The 19,992-nt window shown below is 52.0% G+C and overlaps 2 protein-coding genes across 4 annotated transcripts in view, besides 7 other annotated features; one reads left to right on the forward strand and one right to left on the reverse strand.

Annotated features, from left to right (window-relative positions):
- Positions 1 to 12,888, reverse strand: part of DDX54 (DEAD-box helicase 54) — a 28,306-nt gene extending 15,418 nt beyond the window's left edge. For both annotated transcript variants that reach the window (NM_024072.4, NM_001111322.2), the window contains exons 1-10: positions 12,688 to 12,888; positions 8,339 to 8,468; positions 7,345 to 7,415; positions 6,553 to 6,741; positions 6,387 to 6,436; positions 4,462 to 4,503; positions 4,250 to 4,345; positions 2,446 to 2,567; positions 2,285 to 2,346; positions 2,050 to 2,181 (exon numbers count right to left, since the gene is read on the reverse strand). In NM_024072.4, the coding sequence (NP_076977.3) occupies positions 2,050 to 2,181; positions 2,285 to 2,346; positions 2,446 to 2,567; positions 4,250 to 4,345; positions 4,462 to 4,503; positions 6,387 to 6,436; positions 6,553 to 6,741; positions 7,345 to 7,415; positions 8,339 to 8,468; positions 12,688 to 12,861 (1,068 nt within the window). In that variant the 5' untranslated portion in view covers positions 12,862 to 12,888. The remainder of the gene's footprint in view (positions 1 to 2,049; positions 2,182 to 2,284; positions 2,347 to 2,445; positions 2,568 to 4,249; positions 4,346 to 4,461; positions 4,504 to 6,386; positions 6,437 to 6,552; positions 6,742 to 7,344; positions 7,416 to 8,338; positions 8,469 to 12,687) is intronic.
- Positions 1,842 to 1,921: an enhancer, noted in NCBI's record as "active region_7062". NCBI's record gives its function as "activates an Ori minimal core promoter by ATAC-STARR-seq in GM12878 lymphoblastoid cells {active_cell/tissue: GM12878}" and the evidence as "EXISTENCE:reporter gene assay evidence [ECO:0000049][PMID:35858748]".
- Positions 12,705 to 12,784: an enhancer, noted in NCBI's record as "active region_7063". NCBI's record gives its function as "activates an Ori minimal core promoter by ATAC-STARR-seq in GM12878 lymphoblastoid cells {active_cell/tissue: GM12878}" and the evidence as "EXISTENCE:reporter gene assay evidence [ECO:0000049][PMID:35858748]".
- Positions 12,822 to 13,471: an enhancer, noted in NCBI's record as "H3K27ac hESC enhancer chr12:113623217-113623866 (GRCh37/hg19 assembly coordinates)". NCBI's record gives its function as "activates a minimal SCP1, AML or CMV promoter by ChIP-STARR-seq in naive and primed H9 embryonic stem cells {active_cell/tissue: H9 hESC(naive and primed)}" and the evidence as "EXISTENCE:reporter gene assay evidence [ECO:0000049][PMID:30033119]".
- Positions 13,131 to 19,778, forward strand: RITA1 (RBPJ interacting and tubulin associated 1). Of its 2 annotated transcripts, NM_032848.3 has the most exons (4): positions 13,131 to 13,431; positions 13,595 to 13,726; positions 14,093 to 14,458; positions 18,720 to 19,778. In NM_032848.3, exons 3-4 carry the CDS (start codon positions 14,157 to 14,159, stop codon positions 19,225 to 19,227), a joined length of 810 nt encoding a protein of 269 aa, NP_116237.1. In that variant the 5' UTR covers positions 13,131 to 13,431; positions 13,595 to 13,726; positions 14,093 to 14,156; the 3' UTR covers positions 19,228 to 19,778. The 2 variants fall into 2 exon arrangements, with proteins under 2 accessions (NP_116237.1, NP_001273144.1); NM_001286215.2 differs by lacking the exon at positions 13,595 to 13,726.
- Positions 13,275 to 13,414: a silencer, noted in NCBI's record as "silent region_4892". NCBI's record gives its function as "represses an Ori minimal core promoter by ATAC-STARR-seq in GM12878 lymphoblastoid cells {active_cell/tissue: GM12878}" and the evidence as "EXISTENCE:reporter gene assay evidence [ECO:0000049][PMID:35858748]".
- Positions 13,472 to 14,122: an enhancer, noted in NCBI's record as "H3K27ac-H3K4me1 hESC enhancer chr12:113623867-113624517 (GRCh37/hg19 assembly coordinates)". NCBI's record gives its function as "activates a minimal SCP1, AML or CMV promoter by ChIP-STARR-seq in primed H9 embryonic stem cells {active_cell/tissue: H9 hESC(primed)}" and the evidence as "EXISTENCE:reporter gene assay evidence [ECO:0000049][PMID:30033119]".
- Positions 14,123 to 14,772: an enhancer, noted in NCBI's record as "H3K4me1 hESC enhancer chr12:113624518-113625167 (GRCh37/hg19 assembly coordinates)". NCBI's record gives its function as "activates a minimal SCP1, AML or CMV promoter by ChIP-STARR-seq in naive H9 embryonic stem cells {active_cell/tissue: H9 hESC(naive)}" and the evidence as "EXISTENCE:reporter gene assay evidence [ECO:0000049][PMID:30033119]".
- Positions 18,902 to 19,555: an enhancer, noted in NCBI's record as "H3K4me1 hESC enhancer chr12:113629297-113629950 (GRCh37/hg19 assembly coordinates)". NCBI's record gives its function as "activates a minimal SCP1, AML or CMV promoter by ChIP-STARR-seq in naive H9 embryonic stem cells {active_cell/tissue: H9 hESC(naive)}" and the evidence as "EXISTENCE:reporter gene assay evidence [ECO:0000049][PMID:30033119]".
- Positions 19,779 to 19,992: the final 214 nt, after the last annotated feature.

Raw genomic sequence — 19,992 nt, forward strand, 5'->3', positions numbered from 1 at the left:
TGAGAAGGAGACTTGGAGGAGAAAGGAAAGGAAGCCAGACCATGGCGGGGGACGGGCACTGAGGTGCAGAGACAAGACCACGGGTTCTGGAGTCTGGCACCCTTGGTCTGAATCCCAGCTTGCTGGGTGATGCCAGTTTGGGGAGGAATGGAGCTTACAACACCTCCCACCTCTCTGCAGGGTTGTCTGAGGATCAGAGATGATGTGTGCAGAGGGCCCTCTCAGGGAAGCTGCAAATGCCACCTCAGTGCACAAGCCTTATCCGGATTCTGCTACAAACAAGCTGTGTGACCTTGGGCAAGTTACCAAACTTTTCTATGCCTCATTTTCCTCATCTGTACGAATAACTGCCCCTTCTTTGTGCCTTATTATGAGGATCACATGAGTCAGTATATACAGTGCTGAGAACAGAGTCTCAACATGGAACACTCATGAGAGTGCTAGCTGTTCTTTACAGATTACTATTTAAACTGGGCATGGTGGCTCACGCCTGTAATCCAGCATTTCGGGAAACCAAGGCTGGAAAATCACTTGAGACCAGAAACTCGAGACTAGCCTGGGTAACACAGCAAGACACCATCTCTACAAAAAAAATTAAAATAAATAAAAAATGAGCTGGCATGGTCAGGCATGACTTGTGCCTACAGTCCCAGGTACTTCGGAGGCTGAGGTGGGTGGATCACTTGAGCCCAGGAGGCAGAGGTTGCAGTAAGCCATGATCATGCCATTGCACTCCAGCCTGGCCAAAGGAGCAAAACTCTCTCTAAAAAAACAACTGTTTAAAAATTACTATTTTGGTCTTATTCACTGGTGACCCCAGCAGCTGCACAGAGGGAGTGTTGTTAACTGTGTGTGGAGTAAGTGAAACCCAGTGAACCATGTCCTCAGATAACAGACCCAGGTGTAGCTGACAGGGAGGCAGGCACCAACGGAAAGGGGCCCCACTGCCTTCTGGGGCACAGCGACTCCCCAGGCTTTGACCCAGGCGGGGGTCACACAGGCATAACACATATGAAAAAAATCTTTGAGCCACTCACACATGCTAACAGCGCTTCACACAGCTTGCTACATGCAGGTCATGCCTCAATCTTAAGAAGTCAAACAAACCACATACTAAAAATCTACAGGAAAATAACAGGATGGCAGGGACAGGCTTCAAAATAACCCGGATGTAAGGGGAACTAACGGATGAAGGTCAAGACCAGCTATCAGCTGGTAACAGTTGTACCTAGATAACGAGTACCCGGGGTTCATCATATTATTTTCTGATCTTAGAATTGGTTTGAAATTTTCTCACAATAAAAAGTTTAGGCCAGGCGCTGTGGCTTACACCTGTAATCCCAGCACTTTAGGAGGCTGAGACGGGCAGATCATTTGAGGTCAGGAGTTCAAGACCCACCTGGCCAACACGGCAAAACCCCGTCTCCATGAGAAATACAAAAATTAGACAGGCATGGTGGCGCCTGAAGTCTCAGCTACTCAGGAGGATGAGGCAGGAGAATCACTTGAACCTGGGAGGTGGAGGTTGCAGTGAGCTGAGATCGTGCCACTGCACTCCAGCCTGGGCGACAGAGTGAGATACCATTTCCAAAAAAAAAAAAAAAGAAATGTTTTCATAATCCCAGTACTATAATCCCAGTACTATGGGAGGCCAAGGTGGGAGGATCACCTGAGCCCAGGAGTTCAAGACCAGCTTGGGCAACCGAGTGAGAACCTGTCTTTACAAAATATAAAAATAAGTAACAAGTTAGTTGGGCATGGTGACATGCGCCAGAAGTCCCAAGTACTCGGGAGGCTGAGGCGGGAGAATTGTTTGAGCCTGGAAGGTCAAGGCTGCAGTGAGCCACGATTGTGCCACTGCACTCTAGCCTGGATGGCAGAGCGAGGCTCCGTCTCAAAAAAATAAAAAATAAAAATAAAAATGACCATCTTGAGCCCAGGCCCAGGCTCCTGGTCCGCTCTCGTGCTGCCCTCTAGTGACTGCACAGGGAACTGCAGCTCCAAACTCCAGCTGAAGGAGGTGCTCCTCCCACTCAGGACCCTGCTCACCTCAGTGAGGTACTCGGCGTGGTGCTTCGTGGCCACAAACACCACGGTCTGGTCCTGGGGCCGCACCACGTTGTGCAGCAGGTGGAGCAGCACGGCAGCCTTGGTGTCCTCCCGCACGAGGAAGAAGGAGGTCTGTGGGGAGAGGGCATCACGTGTTGGCTTACGGGGTCCTGGCCCAGGGCCTGCAGGGCCCACCTGGACACAACCTCCTGGGATGGGACAGGTGCAGCCTCACCTTCAGCTGCTCGTTGAGCTTGGTATCCACGTCAAGCCGGATGAGCACGGGCTCCGTGAGGCCTGCAGGAGACATGGGGGAAAGTGGGGGAGTCGCAGAGGGACTGGCCCCCAGGCCCCAGCCTGACCCCCAGCCCCCATCTCCACCCCCAGCTCACGCACCAGCCCGGGCAAATTCCACCAGCAGTTTGGGCAGCGTGGCGGAGAACAGCACCGTCTGGTGGCCCCCGGGGAGGCGGGCGATGATCTCCTGCAGCTGCTCTGCGAAACCCATTTCAAAAAGCCTGGAAGGGTAGAGGGCAGGACTGGGTCAGAGGGGGCCTTCACTCCCTGGAGTTCCAACCGCAGCCATCCTTGTCCCCACAACTTCTGCAGTGTCCCAGGGCTTGCCTCACTCTAACTCAGCCCACTCACACTTATCACGTGACTTCATCCTAAACAACAATAACCTTGAAATCTGGAATCTGTCTTGGTCATGTTCTTACAAACTCATGCTGAAATAAATGACAGCAGCCCAGGCTGGCTGCAGAGGCTCACACCTGTAATCCCAGCACTTTGAGAGGCCAAGGCAGGAGGAGTTCAAGAACACCCTAGGCGAGATCCCATCTCTACAAAAATAAAAAATTAGCTGGGGCCGGGCGCAGTGGCTCAGGCCTGTAATCCCAAGCACTTTGGGAGGCCAAGGCGGGCGGATCATGAGGTCAGGAGATCGAGACCATCCTGGCTAACACAGTGAAACCCCGTCTCTATTAAAAATACAAAAAAATTAGCCGGGCGTGGTGGCGGGCGCCTGTAGTCCCAGCTACTCGAGAGGCTGAGGCAAGAGAATGGCGTGAACCCAGGAGGCGGAGCTTGCAGTGAGCCGACATCATGCCACTGAACTCCAGCCTGGGCAACAGAGTGAGACTCCGTCTCAAAAAAAAAAAAAAATTAGCTGGGCATGGTGGCGCATGCCTATATTCCCAGCTACTCAGGAGGCTGACATGGGAGGATCCCTTGAGCCTGGGAGGTCGAGGCTGCAGTGAGCCATCATCACACCACTGTACTCCAAACTGGGTGACAGAGCAAGACCCTGTCACCATCAATCAATCAATGATAGCAGTCCCTCCCCACTTCCCCCACATCCCCCTCCCCACTTCCCCCACAACCCCCTCCCCAACTCTGCCAGGGAGGGTTCCAAGTACTTTACAAGTATCAAGTCTTCTGGTCCTCACAACACCCCTGTGAGGTACGTGCTACTTTATCCCCATTTTGCAGTTGAAGCAGCCAAGGCCCAGAGATGTCCAGTGATTGCCCAAATTCACAGAGCTGAAGTCGCAGAGCTAGGACTTGATCCCACTCCTGTCTGGCTCCTGAGTCCATGCTCTCAACTTTGTGCTTTTAAAAAAATCTCTTTGAAATCCCATGTTAGGGGCCGGGTGCTGTGGCTCCCGCCTGTAATCCCAGCACTTTGGGAGGCCGAGGCGGGTGGATCACCTGAGGTCAGGAGTTTAAGACCAGCCTGGCCAATATGGTGAAATCCCATCTCTACTAAAAATACAAAATTAGCCAGGCGTGGTAGCGCGTACTTGTAACCCCAGCTACACAGGAGGCTAAGGCAGGAGAATCACTAGAACCCGGAAGGCGGAGGTTGAAATGAGCCAAGATCATACCATTGCACTCCAGCCTGGGTGACAGAGCAAGACTCTATCTCATAAATAAATAAATAAATAAATAAATCCCATGTTAGATGTCCTATTATTCATTTCAATACTCCTGAAATGCAAAATTATAAATATTGGTCAGAGAGCCCCAGAGATGAGCTCCAGCACCGCTTATGAGGAGGTCTGCAGCCCACATCTGGGAAGACACTGCTTCGATCTCAGCCACACAGGGCTCTCCTGGCAGAGCCTTCCTCTGGTTGACCTCTCTGCCTCTGCTTTCCCAGTTCAGACACAAGTGCTCAGGGCTGGACCTGCAGCCTTACCGGTCAGCTTCATCGAACACCACGTATTCCACACTCTGCAGCTTCAGGCTCATTTCCACAGCCACATGCACCAACCGTCCGGGCGTGGCAATAATTCTGGAAGAGGGTGCACAGGCCAGGTGACCCCAGGGCCAGGGCCACCACCACAGTTCTCTTACACCCCCACCACTAGGAAGGGATCTCAGGGAGTCATCCCCAATCCACAAACTCACATGTCGGGATTTTCGTGCAGGGCTGCAAACTGGTCTTCCATCCTAGAGAGGAGAGAAGGGGTTAGCTTGATAGAACAGGTCTCTTTGGTTTCCCTTCCCATAACCAAATGTCCAGGCAAGGCTGCACACCCCATCCCCAGGAACACAGACCCAAGGCTTGGAACTGAGGAAAGGCCAGTGCTGAGGTATGAGGCAAAGGCATTGCCCTGACAAGAGATACAAGCTGAAATATGCAAAAGAATGGTAACAACAGAGTTCCTCTGAAGAGATGGGCTCAACTACAGACCTCAATTCACTCCTTCTGTTGTTCCAGATAGCAACAAAGCTGCCTTCCACCCACAGTGCCCCCAGCAACTAACCCCAGAACTACCAGCCCCAACTAGAACCCAGGTTCCATGGATCTCTATCAGCTCCCGTCCTTAAACCCTTTGGGCACAAATCCCTAATTTTAGCCCTCCTCTGCAGCACCCTTGGGATACCTGTAGGAGCCAGGGTAGTCCTGGGCCAGGACTAGCCCAGGGAGGCCTTTCTGACAATCACAAACTTCAGAAAGAATAAATGACAATGGAGACAAAGGCACTGAAAAGCAAACTCTCCGAGAATCAAGAGTGTTAATAGCGGCATCCTTAAACTTTCTCCCTTAAAGGGGCTGCCCTTTAAGGGATAAACTGTGAGATAAGGCATGGAATGAGGCAGGAGACTGGATTCTGATCCCAGCTCTACTATGGAATCATTGCCAAACTCTAACCTGTCACTTCCTCACTTTGCCCATCTGTAAAACAGACGTGGCACCTACTACCTAGGAAGGGTGGTAGATGAACAGCAGGAGATACTACATCTTATGAATCTGAGCTATTACAAACATCCCTCGATTCCTGTGCTTTCTGCTTTCTAACAGCCCACAGCCAGGCGTGGTGGCTTACGCCTGTAATCCCAACACTTTGGGAGGCCAAAGTAGCAGATCACTTGAGCCCAGGAGTTTGAGACCAGCCTGAGTAACATGGCGAGACCTCATCTCTACAAAAAATACAAAAAATTGGCTGGGCATGGTGGTGCACACCTGTAGTGCCAGCTACTGGGGAGGCTGACGTGGGAGGATCACTTGAGCCCAGGAGGTTGAGGCTGCTGTTAGCTGTGATTGCGCCACTGTACTCCAGCCAGGGTGACAGAGCGAGACCCTGTCTCAAAATAAACAAACAAAAAACAAAAACAAAAACAAGCCCACGATTATGCATTTTAAAATAGATACACCTGTCTGTCCTGTGAGCTGATGACTCTATTTCAGGAGCATCAGAACTTCTGAGTGGCAGTGCCTCTGTGGGCAATTTATTTTAATGTTTTATCACATGATTTCCCTTGTTGGTTTTTTTCTTAAGCCAGTCAAATTTAGCAGTGAGGGGGGTTGTATACCAACTTTAATGATACTAATGTTGGTAAGTTCTGATAACCTGCTACCACTGGACCAGCCTTCTTGGGTTTTTGTTTTGTTTTTTCTTTTTTTTTTTTTTGAGATTGGAGTCTCGCGCTGTCGCCCATGTTGGAGTGCAGTAATGCCATCTCGGCTCACTGCAACCTCCACCTCCTGGGTTCAAGTGATTCTCTTTTCTCAGCCTCCATTGTAGCTGGGATTACAGGTATGCGACACCATGCCCAGCTAATTTTTGTATTTTTAGTAGAGACAGGGTTCTGCTATGTTGGTCAGGCTGGTCTCAAACTCCTGACCTCAGGGGATCTGCCCACCTCGGCCTCCCAGAGTGCTGGGATTACAGGCATGAGCCACTGGGCCCGGCCTTGTTGGGTTTTTTGAATGAGCACAGAAGCTGCTATTATTAATAAGCAACACAGCTTAAATCGAACTAATGTCCTGGAGACACAGAGATGTGCCTGCATGGTGGTGACCCTGGCATGGGGTGCAGGGACCTTACCTGTCTCCACCCAGGATCAGGGCAGTCTTGAGGCCAGTGAACTTGCCTAGCTGAGAAGAGAAAGTGATTGAGAGAGGGCAGGGGTGAGATGACAGCACACTCGTGGCCTCTGTGTCCGGTCCCAAGTCAGCCCTTGCCTCCAGCCTCTAGCCAAGCTCAGACACACCTCCTTAGTGAACTTCAGGGTCTGCAGGGCCAGCTCTCGGGTCGGCGAGAGGATGAGGGCGCGGGCCCCGGTCTGGGCACTGTGGGTCTTGAGCCGCTCGAACATTGGGAGGAGGAAGCAGGCTGTCTTGCCACTGCCCGTCCGGGCCATGGCCACCACGTCCTTGCCATCCAAGATCACCGGGATGGTCTGGAGAGGCACAAGCAGGGAAGTCAAGGTCAGCTCCTCCCCAAACACCATGTGATCCAGAGCTTCAAGGCCCTGAGGAGTGGGCATGCTATAGATCTCAGTGAATGGGCAGGCACCCGTCACCCAGCCCTGAGCCTATTCTTGCCCATTCTTTCAAAAGCCTGTTAGCATGCCTCCAAGGATGAGCGGCTCACTACCCCAACTCTTTCCATTGCTGGAACACCCTTCTTCGGAGGAGCCAGACTCTACCTCCCGTCTAGTCCTCCTCCTCAGAACCCCAGAGAAATGGCTCCCACTGGGCGAAATGTCTAAGAAGAATAATCACAAGCCCTGGGTGATAATATAGGTGGCTGGGAGCTGCCTGAGCTGAGGTTCAGCTGTGGGCAGCCTCCAGGAGGCTCAACTGGCAGAAAGGCCCAGAGTCTCTGCTCGGCTCGGCCCAACCTTCTCCACCTAGGAAGTGGGCACGCTAGCTGGGGCTTCAGCAGAGTAAAGGGGGCAGGAGATGTGACAGGTGGGACAAGGGGTGGCTGTCAAGGGGCCAGAGAGGAGGGCCATGTCACTCCTCCCTCGCCCTCACCCGTCGACCGCCCCACCCCTCACCTTCCTCTGGATGGGTGTTGGCACCTTGTACCCCTTCTTCATGATGCCTTTGAACACCGGGTAGCTCAGGCCTGGGAGAGACATGAAACGGTCAGGGGGCCGAGGGAGTCCCCACAGCACCAACCCCAGAGAACTTTACAGGACAAATGACAGCTTCATCAACAATAAACAGCAAGGGAAAAAAAAAAGCAATAAAGCACAAACTGAAAGGTGAAATGAGACTTAGGAGACAGATCTGACTGGGGCACCTGAACCTTATCTGATTTTCTGATGTGAACCCACTCTTGATGTCATGAGACAGCAGGGATCTCTGAACACTAACGGGGTCTTAGGTGACACTAAGAAGCTGTGCCTTCGTTTTAGGCGTGGTAAGGTCCTGCGCCTCTTGGAAGTGTGTGTGGACACAATGAGGATGTCTGGAATGAACTTCAGAATCACCCGGGTGTGGGGAGGGACTCTTGTCCCTCTTGGTGGTGAGGGCATGGATGGGAGCTCACTTTGTTGCCCAAGCTGGACTTGAACTCCTGGCCTCAAGTGATCCTACCTCTGCCTCCCCAAACGCTAAGATTACAGGCATGAGTCATCGCACCCAGCACTCATCTTGATATTTAAATCCTTGCTCCAGCTGCTACTGATTTGTAAAGAGTAACAGAGTCAGGCTTTATTTCTGGCCAGCCAGGTGTCCCCACACCACCCACCCATTCCATCCTTTCCCTCCTTCTGAAATGTCCCTCTGCAGGCAATAAGTCCCCGACTGTCTTTGCCTGTTCCTGCATCTGCATTGCCTTTCCTGAGGCCTGTTCTAACTGCCCTCTCCTGTGTCAGGCCCGCTGCCCCACTAGAAGGCCCTGAATGACTGGAGGACCACATCTGCTACCCCGGTCTACCCAACCACAGTGCTGGGCCCAGAGTGGACATCAGTGATGGAGTGCAGAGGCGGGGTTGACCTCCAGCTGCCACTCCCGCAGAGTCCCTGATGCCAAGTTGCACCCACCCATGGACTGGAAGCCTCCAGACTTCTTCTTCTTCTTGTTCTGGGCACGCACCATCTCCCGGGTGTCCGGCTCCACATCCGAGGTGCATTCCGAGGTGGGGAAGGTGGGCAGGGGTCTTCCAGGTCCCAGCTGGGAGGGAAGGACAGAGAGGTGGTGTCACTCCAGGCACAGTGGGACCACAGGGGGCAGGGAAGGGGCCTGTGCTGTTGCCCTCTCTCCCCCATTCAAGCCAATGATGCTTCCGCCAGATCACGTCACTTTTTTGCTAGTAAGTTCTCCTTTGGCTGGGCCAGGACAGAAGTTTAGAGTGGGGTCTGCAGATAGACTGTCTCGGTTTGAATCTCAATCCCAAAAGTAAGTACATTTTTTTTTTTTTTTTAAGAGACAGGGTCTTACTCTGTCACCCAGGCTGGAGTACAGCAGTGCAGGCATGGCTCACTGCAGCCTTGAACTCCTAGGCTCAAGTGAGTCTCCCACCTTAGACTTCTGAGTAGCTGGGACTACAGGCGTATACTACCACATCTGGCTAATTTTTTTATTTTGTATTTATTTTTTTTTTTTTGTAGAGATGAGGTCTTACTGCATTGCCCAGGCTAGTCTTGAATTCCTGGCCTCAAGTATTCCTCCCTTCTTGGCCTCCCAAAGTGTTGGGATTACAGGCATGAACCACCACACCCAGCCCCTAAATACATTAAAGAGCCAATCGAAATGCCTACTATATGTGAAGTACTAGACTTTTCCAAGATCTCCCGCCCCCTACCCCCGCCCCATCAGCCGCCAACCAATCTCCTTTCTGATCTCTGGTCTGTCTCATGCCTGGCCTCCTTTCTGCTCACCCAGGACCCACTTGTCCTGGCACAGCTAAATCCAATCCAGACACCTCCTCTGGGGAACCTTCTTGGACTACAGGGCTGTCCCCTTTCTCTTAAAAATAGCATTCATGGCCAGGCGTGGTGGCTCACGCCTGTAATCCCAGCACTGGGAGGCTGAGGTGGGTGGATCATTTGAGCCCAGGAGTTCCCAGACTAGCCTGGGCAACATGGTAAAACCCCATCTTTACCAAAAAAGAAAAAAAAAAAAGCATTTACGGAGCAGCAATTCATAAGAGTGGCTGAAACTTACAAGGTATCTACTATAAGCTAGGTGCTGCTCTGAGAATTATACAAATTAACCCACTTAATCCTCACAACAATCTGATGAAGTGGGTACTATTGTTCTGTCCATTTTACAGAGAAGAAAACTGAGGCACAGAGATACAGTGACGTGCCCAAGGTCACACAGCCAGCAGGTAGTGGGTGAGGGATGTGAACCCTGGCTTCAGAGACTGTGTTCTTTTCACTGTGACCCTCTAAGATTAACTACAATCCTCTAGGGCAGAGCCATGGCCTGTCTTGAACAGTCTGTGAGTTTAGAACGGTTTTTACTTTTTAAAGGGTTGTAGAAAAGAAAAAGAAATCCAACAAAAAAGACAGTGATCTTATATGGCCCAACAAAACCTAAAAAAAAGATTTACCATCTGGCCCTTGATAGGTCTGCCAACCCCTGCTCTAGGTACATGAAAACAAGGTGCCTGGGACACACAGGCGCCTGCAATAGCTACTGAATGTATGAACAGCATGTCCTTCAGTCTTCTTCTTTTTTTTTTTTTGAGACAGTCTCGTTCAGTCACCCAGGCTGGAGTGCAGTGGCAGGATCTTGGCTCACTGCAGCCTCCACCTCCTGGGTCCAAGCAATTCTCCTGCCTCAGCCTCCCAACTAGCTGGGACTACAGGCACATGCCACCAGCCCGGCTAATTTTTGTATTTTCAGTAGAGATGGGGTTTCACCATGTTGGCCAGGCCGGTCTCAAACTCCCGACCTCAAGTGATCCGCTCACCTTGGCCTCCCAAAGTGCTCGGATTACAGGCATGAGCCACCACGCCCAGCCTCCTTTGGTCTTTTCAACACTTTTTTTTTTTTTTTGAGACAGAGTTTCACTCAGTCTCCCAGGCTGGAGTGCAGTGGGGCAATCACGGCTCACCTAGCTCAGGTGATCCTCCCACCTCAGCCTCCCAAGTAGCTGGGACTACAGGCACACACCACCATGCCTGGCTAATTTTTGTATTTTTTGTAGATGCAGTCTCGCCATGCATGTTGCCCAGGCTGGTCTCGAACTCCTGGCATCAAGTGATCCTCACTCCTCGGACTCCCAAAGTGCTGGGATTACGGGCATGAGCCACGGCACCGGGCCAACAACCTTTGAAACATATATAATCATTTACTTGCCTTCTACGGATGTGGAAACGGGCACAGAGAGGTTAAGCAACCTCTCCAATGTCCCACAGCCAGTGCAAGGTTGGGCCAAATTTGAACACAGGGCAGTGCCGTGAGAAGCCCTTGGTCTGAACTACACTTAGACTCCTCTTCTTTGGTAATAACCACCTCTGCCCGCCTGTGCTGTTCATTACCTTTAGTAGTTTCTCTACATTTGTTGAGCACCTACTGTGTGCCAGGTACTGGCTAGGCTGGAAGATGAGAGAGGGACAGTGGGATGAGGTCTCTTCTAGTTCCTGCCTTGGAGTGTGATCCTTTCTCTTCATATAAATGTCCACTTACTCATCTTGCCCTGAGCCTACCTGGTGCCAGGCACCCGCTGGGAACAGGACTGTGGGAAATAATGGGCGCAGCCCTTCTGCCCCATTGGTGCTCACACCCATCCCTTCATGTGCATACACATGACATTCAGTAATGGAAACGGCACAGGCCTTGGAATCAGACAGTCTCAAGTTTGAATCTCCTGGCTCTTGTACTCACAAGCTGTGAGGTCTTGGTCAAGCTGCTTTCTCTCTTTTTTTGTAAAGATGGGATCTCCCTTTTTTTTTTTTTTCTTTTTTTGGAGACAGAGTCTTGCTCTGTTGCTTATGATGGAGTGCAGTTGTGTAGCCACAGCTCACTGTACTCTCCGCCGCCCAGGTTTAAGTGATCCTCCCACATTGCCTCTCCAGGAGGTGGGACCACAGGTGGGCGCCACCAAGCCAGGCTAATTTTTATTTTTTGAGACAGAGTCTTGCTCTGTCACCCAGGCTGGAGTGCAGTGGTGCAATATCGGCTCACTGCAACCTCTGACTCCCAGTTTCAAGCGATTCTCCTGCCTCAGCCTCCCGAGTAGCTGGGATTACAGGCACATGCCACCACACCTGGCTATTTTTGTATTTTTAGTAGAGACAGGGTTTCACCATGTTGGCCAGGCTGGTCTTGAACTCCCGACCTCAGGTGATCCGCCTGCCTCAGCCTCCTAAAGTGCTGGGATTACAGGCGTGAGCCACCGCGGCCATCCTAATTTTTTAATTTTTTGTAGAGACGGGGTCTGCCTATGTTGCCCAGGCTGATCTTGAACTCCTGACCTCAAGCAATCCTCCCACCTCAGCCTCCCTAAGTGCTGGGTTTACAGGCGTGTAGCCACTACACCAGGCCTTTGACTATTTCTTAACCCTCTAGGCCTCAGTTTCCTCCTGTAGAAAAATGAAGATGACAGTTGCTGGTGGTGTTAGCACAACGTTGGTGTGAGGATTAAATAATAAGGCTCGTACAGCTCTTAGCATGGAGCCTGGCACATAGTAAACGGTCAACAAACACAAACTGGCCGGGCTCACGCCTGTTAATCCCAACACTTTGGGAAGCAGAAGTGGGAGGACTGCTTGAGGCCAGAAGTTCGAGACCATCCTGGGCAACATAGGGAGACCCCCGTCTCTACAAAAAATTTAAAAATTATCCGGGCGTGGTGGCGCATGTCTGTGGTCTCAGCTACCGGAGAGGCTGACGTGGGAGGATCGCTTGAGCCCAGGAGGCGGAGGCTGTAGCAAGGCGTGGCTACACAACTGCACTCCGGCATGAGCAACAGAGCAAGACTCTGTCTCAAAAAAAATTGTTTTAATTCGTTTCCCAGAGGTTTGGAGGCGTCACACTGTCTCAAGCCACGCAGTCTGGCCTCCCCTTAATTCAACCTCCCAAGAACGCTCCAAACTCTCAAAGTCAGATCTTCTGCACCCGCACTTTTCATTGGGCGAAAGGGAGCCAGGATCCGCCCCACGAGCAGGAGGCAGCCAATGAGAGACGCGCGACCAAAACCCGGCAGGAAGGCCCGCAGGCTCCAGCCCCGGGATCCCAAGGCTCTGGCCGCGGAACCCTGAGCCTGACAAGCCCCGAGACACGTGCTCAGGCCGGCGGTCCCAAGACCGGTCCTCGGGTCGGCAGCCTCCCTCCCCACACTCTGCGGAGCCCAATCCCCAGCTGGGGAAACTGAGGCCTCGAGGCGCTGCCCGGAGCCGGGTCTCGGGCCCGAACATGCGTCCCAGCCCCACGCGCCTACCTTCCGGGCCCGGGCGTCATCTTCCGCCTGGATCTCAAACTCGCCGTCCTCCGAGTCGCTGCCGCGGGCCTGGGAGGCCGCGCCTCGGCGCTTCCGGAGCCCTTTCTTCTTCCTCCACTGGGCCATGGCAGCTCGCGACCGAGGTCCAGCCGCCGGGCCCTTGTCGGCCGCCATTCGGGCCGCGCGCTGGGAACGCAGAAGGGGGCGTGGCCTGAGGAGCGCACCAACTGCGTGGGGGGGGGGGAGGTGCGGTGACCACGTGACCTCCGCTGAGCTTTCGCCAGTGCCTGCGGCCCTCGGCGGCCTAGTACACACGCACCTGAGTGAGTGGCACCAGAGGACCCTCTCCATGTTTAGGGACCTCCTGGGCCTCAGGAGCGTGGCGCCCGCCCCTGGGCGGACTCCCCCCATCCGCGGGCGCGAATGGTCCGGGCCGCGTCCGCAGTGCTGCTGGCTGCTCCCTGGTTGCTGGGTGCAAAGTGCTGGGTTCTGGGTTTCTGGATTCGCGGGCCGTTCACACGTAGCCTGTGCCGGCTCCTCGGGTGAGTCCGTCCGCGCGCGGTGCCCCGGGACGGCCTAGGCTGCCGGGGGTCCGGGGCCCCAGGCATTCCGGGCTGCAGATTGACGGGGATCCCGGATGCACCGCGCGCCCCCGCGCCCTCACCGACGGGTCCAGACCTGGTGGGAAGAAGGTGCGGGGACGGGTCCCTGAGGATCCCGATGCCTACGAGCCAAGATGCTCAGGTAGGAGAACAACCCAAAAATGCAGGGACCTCGGGCACTTTTTAATCGGGTCATTGATTTGGGAGTCGCAGAATGTGGGGCGGTGGGGGCGGCGGTGATCTCCCGATAGCAGTGTAGCCAAGTACACAAGCTCTGGACTCAGATTTCACTTCCACCGTTTTAGCTTTATAGGTGTGACCTACACATGTGACTTCACCTCAGTTTTGTGATCCGTAAAATGGACAAATTCGAAGCTACTTCACAGTGCTGTTGAGAGGATTAAATGAAACAATGCTTGTAAAGCTCTTTGCAGGAGGTAGGCATGGGATCCACGCTGGCTGTCATTGCCCCCACCCCCATCAGTACACATAGGAAAGTGCCTGTCTCCCCTACCACCATAGTGTGTTTTCTGGTTGGTGCCTAAATAGACACAGGTGTCATCTCTCCTTCACCGCCAGAGTCATTCTGTAAATAATTGCCAGTAGCCCCCCTTTCACCACCATTATGACAACTAAAAAAAAGCCAAAGAAATTTCCAAAATGCCCCCTGAAGTTGACAGCTCCCCTTTGAGAGACTGGTTGAGAGAGAACTAAACCCTTGGGATGAGAACTTCAGACACTACCGGTCTTCCTCCATTAGCACTTCTGTGGCTCAGGGGTGCTACTCTGACCTCCTCTCACAGGGAGCCTCGGAAGCAGGGCCTGGCCGGCAGAGCACACCTGCTGTCACCAGGGACCACAGGCAGCATGAAGACCCCCGTGGAGCTGGCCGTCAGTGGGATGCAGACCCTCGGCCTTCAGCACCGCTGCCGAGGTGGCTACCGGGTCAAGGCCAGGACGTCATATGTGGATGAGACTCTGTTTGGCAGCCCAGCAGGCACCCGGCCTACCCCACCGGACTTCGATCCGCCCTGGGTGGAGAAGGCTAACAGAACCAGAGGCGTGGGCAAGGAGGCATCGAAGGCCTTGGGGGCAAAGGGGAGCTGTGAGACCACCCCCTCAAGGGGCAGCACCCCCACCCTCACACCAAGGAAGAAGAACAAATACAGGTAATGGGGTAGGGAGATGCAAATCCTGTACTCAGTGCAGCCACCTGGATTCCAGTTACAGCTCTGGTGTTCACCTGCTCTGTGACCTTGGGCAAGCATCTTGACCTCTCTGAGCCAGTTTACTCATGTGGAAAATAGGACCAATTATTCCTACCTAGGGGGATTGTTGATGGATTAAATGAGAGAGGGGTCTGCAGTGCTTCGCACAGTAACCTAATACTTAGAAAGCTGTCAATAAATGGTAGTGTTGATGGTTGTGATGGTGAACTCCCTATCCCCAAATGTCACAAACTGGGCATCTGAGGCCCAGAGGAGTCAGCTGAGGCATAAGATCACAGAGAAATTTGCATAAGCTTATTAATATTAATGTGTTCGATCCTTGAAATGACATAGATGTGGTGTTTCTGAAGTCATTTTGAAAATGGGTTTTGGCCACATGGGGTAGCTCATGCCTGTAATCCCAGAACGTTTGGAGGTTGAGGTGGGATCACTTGAGCTCAGGAGTTTGAGACCAGCCTGGGCAGCGTGGTGAAACTGTGTCTCTATAAAAAATGCAAAAATTAGCCAAGTGTGGTGGTGTGCGCCTGTACTCCCAGCTCCCGGGAGGCTGAGGTGGGAGGATCACTTGAGCCTAGGAGGCAGAGATTGCAATGAGCTGAGATCACGCCTCTGCACTCCAGCCTGAGTGACAGAGTGAGACCCTGTCTCCAAAAAAAAAAAAAAAAAAAAATTGAAAATGGTTCTTGCTGCATTTTTATGAACAAGTTAGAAAAATAGGAACTAATGCAAATTGTTATTGTTGTTAATTAATTAGATTAGAATTAGATTATTTGGACTGTTTCAGATTAATATCAGCCTGGAGGGAGGTGTCTAGTGGTGAGCCACAGGGCTCTGTCCTGTTTATTGTTATCAGTGGTTTGGACAAAGACACAGAAGATTAGCACAGTAGTTGGCTAGGGCCACCATGACAAAATACCACAGACTGGGTGGCTTAAACAACACAATTTTTTTTTTTTTTGAGATGGAGTCTCGCTCTGTTGCCCAGGCTGGAGTGCAGTGGCACGATCTTGGCTCACCACAACCTCCACCTCCCGGGTTCAAGCGACTCTCCTGCCTCAGTCTCCTGAGTAGCTGGGACTACAGGCACATGCCACCATGCCTGACTTAATTTTTTTTTTTTTTTTTTGAGACGGAGTTTTGCTCTTGTTGCCCAGGCTGGAGTGCAGTGGAGCCATCTCAGCTAACCTGAACCTCTGCCTCCCAGGTTCAAGCGATTCTCCTGCCTCACCCTCCCTGGTAGCTGGGATTACGCCACCATGCCTGGCTAATTTTGTATTTTTAGTAGAGACGGGGTTTCTCCATGTTGGTCAGGCTGATCTTGAACTCCCGACCAGGTGATCCACCTGCCTTGGCCTCCCGAAGTGCTGGGATTACAGGCATGAGCCACCGCGCCTGGCCACAACACAAATTTATTTTGTCACAGTCTGGAGGCTGGAAGCCCAAGATCAAGGTGTTGGCAGGTTTGGTTTCTCCTGAGGCCTCTCTCCTTGGCTTGCAGTTGGCCACGTTCTCACAGTGTCATCATAGGGCCTTTTCTCATTTTTTTTTAATCCTTCAATTACATGCAAGGGCCTTTTCTGTATACACACACACCCCTGATGTCTCTTCCTCTCATAAGGACACCAGTTCTATTGGATTAGGATCCCCTACCCTTATAATGTTATTTAGCCTTAGTTACCTTTTTTTTTTTTTTTTTTTTTTTTTTTTTTTTTTTTTTTTTGAGATGGAGTCTGGCTCTGTCGCCCAGGCTGGAGTGCAGTGGCACCATCTCGGATCACTGCAGCCTCCACCTCCGGGTTCAAGGAATTCTCCTGCCTCAGCCTCCCGAGTAGCTGGCATTACAGGTGCACGCCACCATGCCTGGCTAATTTTTGTATTTTTAGTAGAGACGGGGTTTCACTGTGTTGGCCAGGCTGGTCTCAAACTCCTGAGCTCAAGTCGTTCTCCCGCCTCTGCTTTCCAAAGTGCTGGAATTACAGATGTGAGCCACCATGTCTGGCCAGCCTTAATTACCTTTAATTAATCTAAATAATTAAGGCCAAGTGTAGAGACATTTGGGGTTAGGGCTTCAACATATGAATTTGGGTGGGCACAATTCAGTCCATAAGAACTGGCCAGCTAAAGTTAGGGTTCATTCTGAACCACAGGGACATATTTCAGATGAGAGAAATGAAATGAGAATGGGAATGATACCTATTATAAAAACAAGAATCAGTTATTGCCAGTTCTGTAGACAAGGCAGGGTCAGGTGGAGATTAGCAACACTGATACCTACAACATGGCTGAAAACACTGAGGTAAAGATAGGCTGCATTAGGAAGTATGGTGTCCATGAAAAGGGAGGTGACAACTCCTTGCTCACCTGGAGGGTGGAATTTTCTTCTGGATGCCAACAGGTAGAGGGTGTCAAGTGAGGGGTTGCATAAGAGGTAGAGAAGTTATTGAGCAAAAACCTTGGCACCAGACATATACAGGCATTAGCCAATGTGGTTTGAGCAGCTAAACCAAGTGGCAAAAGCTTGCCCTTTCAAAGACTTGCAGTTTGGGGATAGAAGCACTTTCAGTCCTGGCCAAAAAAACTATGGGCGTGGAATCTTGCAGGTATGCCGTGAATATCTGTTGAATAAAAAAAAAAAAAAAAAAAAAGGCCAGACAGGCTGACTCAGGCCTGTAGTCCCAGCACTTTGGGAGGCTGAGGTGGGAGGATCGCTTGAGCTCCAGAGTTTGAGACCAGCCTGGGCAACATAGTGAGATCCCTGTCTCTACAAAAAATAAAAATATTAGCAGGGCATAGTGGTGCATACCTGTAGTCCCAGCTACTCTGGAGGCTGAAGTGGGAGGATTACTTGAGCTCAGGAGTTCGCAGCTGCAGCGAGCGTCACTGCACTCCAGCCTGGGTGACAGAGTGAGACCCTGTCTCTTAAAAAAAAAAAAAAAAAAGGCCGGGCGCAGTGACTCTTGCCTGTAATCCCAGCACTTTGGGAGGCCGAGGTGGGTAGATCATGAGGTCAGGAATTGAAGACCAGCCTGGCCAACATGGTGAAACCCCCCCCGTCTCTACTAAAAATACAAAAATTAGCTGGGCATGGTAGCACATGCCTGTAATCCCGCCTACTCAGGAGGCTGAGGCAGGAGAATCGCTTGAACCCAGGAGGCGGAGGTTGCAGTGAGCTGAGATTGCACCACTGCACTCCAGCCTGGGTGACAGAGCGAGACTCTGTCTCAGAAAAAAAAAGAAAAAGAAAGAAAGAAAAGAAAATGGGCACGGTGGCTTACTCCTGCAATCCTAACACTTTGAGAGGTTAAGGCAGGGGGCTGCTTGAGTTCAGGAACTCAAGACCAGCCTGAGCAACATAAATCTGATCTCTACTAAAAATCAAAAACAAAAAAATTAGCTGGGCTTGGTGGCACTGTGCCTGTAGTCCCAGCTATTAGGGAGGCTGAGGTGAGAGGATTGCTTGGGCCCAGGAATTTGAGGCTGCTGTGATCTGTGACTGTGCCACTACACTCCACTTGAACAACAGAGTGAGATCGTGTCTCACAAAGAAAAGAAAAAGTGGAGGCTATAAAGACTAAGGTTATACTAATTGTGACTCTCAATTGCAAGTGACAGAAAACTTATTCAAACTGGCTTCCCCAGGAGAAGGCATGTGGGGCTCCTGTAACAGGGGCTCAAACTGTGGCTGGAACTGTCTGTCTCCACCTTAGTGCTGCTTTTCCCTGCATGCCCTTCAATCTTCAGTAGGAAGGAGATAGCCACAAGCTGCTTTGGGCTGACATCCTATCAGCTTAGCAAGAAGTAAAGTCAGGTGGCAGAAAGACATCTCTTTCCTAGTGGTTTCTGCAAGGTCCTAAGGCAGATTCTGATTGGACAGGCTTGGGTCATCTGGCCATTCGTGAACCAATCCATGTGGCCAGGAGGATGGAATATGCAAATTGTCCAGGCCTGGGGCACATGTCTGGGAATGGGGTCAGGATGCAGGGGCAGTGGATGTTTCGCAGGGAAAATCAGCAGAGACCGGGGGCAGTGGTGCTTAAGAGGCTGTGGCCTCGCTGTAGGTTTCAGACTGGGAGACAAGGACTCCTGGGATCTGCAGGCAACCCTCCTCTGCTGCTGCCATCCCAGGGTGGGTGGGAGAGCTGTTAAAGTTTTGAGGGGTTGTTCATCCCCCAGCTCATGGCGTTTATCTTCCATTTGCCAGACCCATCAGCCACACCCCGTCTTACTGTGATGAGTCGCTGTTTGGCTCCCGATCTGAAGGCGCCAGCTTCGGGGCCCCGCGGATGGCGAAGGGGGATGCCGCAAAGCTCCGTGCTCTCTTGTGGACGCCACCACCTACCCCCAGGGGTAGCCACTCGCCCCGCCCCAGGGAGGCACCACTGCGAGCCATTCACCCAGCTGGTCCCTCCAAGACAGAGCCGGGGCCAGCGGCAGACTCCCAGAAGTTATCTATGGGTGGGTTACACTCTTCACGCCCCCTGAAGCGGGGACTTTCCCATTCCCTCACCCACCTGAATGTCCCCAGCACTGGTCATCCAGCCACCAGTGCCCCCCACACAAATGGGCCTCAGGATCTCAGGCCTTCCACGTCAGGGGTGACCTTCCGGAGCCCCCTGGTGACTTCCAGGGCTCGCTCAGTTAGCATTTCAGTGCCATCTACCCCACGACGAGGTGGGGCCACCCAGAAACCAAAGCCCCCTTGGAAATGATACTCTTTCATCAGGGTTGCCTATGGGGCCACGGCGACAGGTATGGCCCCTTGCCAGGGTAGGAGGACATTCATCACCCAGGGAACCCCAGGTATTAAAGAAGCCCCTGTGGGGGCAGACAGACATAGCAGGGGTGGGCAGTGCCTCCCTTTATCCTGACAATCTCTAGTCGATTCTTGCCTTTTTCTCCCGATTGCGGATTTGGGGGCCACCTCTAAGATGCCTCTCTCCAGCCCTGTCTCAACCATACTCCAAATTAGTGCCAACCCAGGGGCCTGGCACCTCCCACATCATCCATTGTCTTGCTGCCAAGTGCGAATAAACGGCGTGATTGCCAACCTGGAGGGTCCCCTCTTATCCCTTCAAGCCAAGCTTCCTGCTCAGGATTAGTTTCCAGCTAAGTCTGCAAGCCCTAGAGGAGTTTTTCCAGGCTGTCTGTGAAGCCTGGGGAACACAACGGCAACTGGGAGATTTGTGAGTGAACACTGTTTCATCTTAATATGCTTCTGAATTTATTTTCATGTACTAAATAGATCAGCTCATCAAAGCCATGAATGTCACTTTTTTTCCCCCTCAGGGTAAAGGCCATTGTTAGGCCTGAGTTGATTTAAATAACAAAGTTAAATACAACAGATAGTACAAGGATGTGGCAGGCAACATGACAGCGGTGAGTGGGTAACTGAAGTTTGGGAATCTGGGGCTTCGGGAAGCGCTGGACTCTTCCTCCCGTCGGCTTCTGGCTAATGCCACTAACTTGTGGTTGGC

This window comes from Homo sapiens, chromosome 12, assembly GCF_000001405.40.
Source record: "Homo sapiens chromosome 12, GRCh38.p14 Primary Assembly".
Classification (NCBI taxonomy): domain Eukaryota; kingdom Metazoa; phylum Chordata; class Mammalia; order Primates; family Hominidae; genus Homo; species Homo sapiens.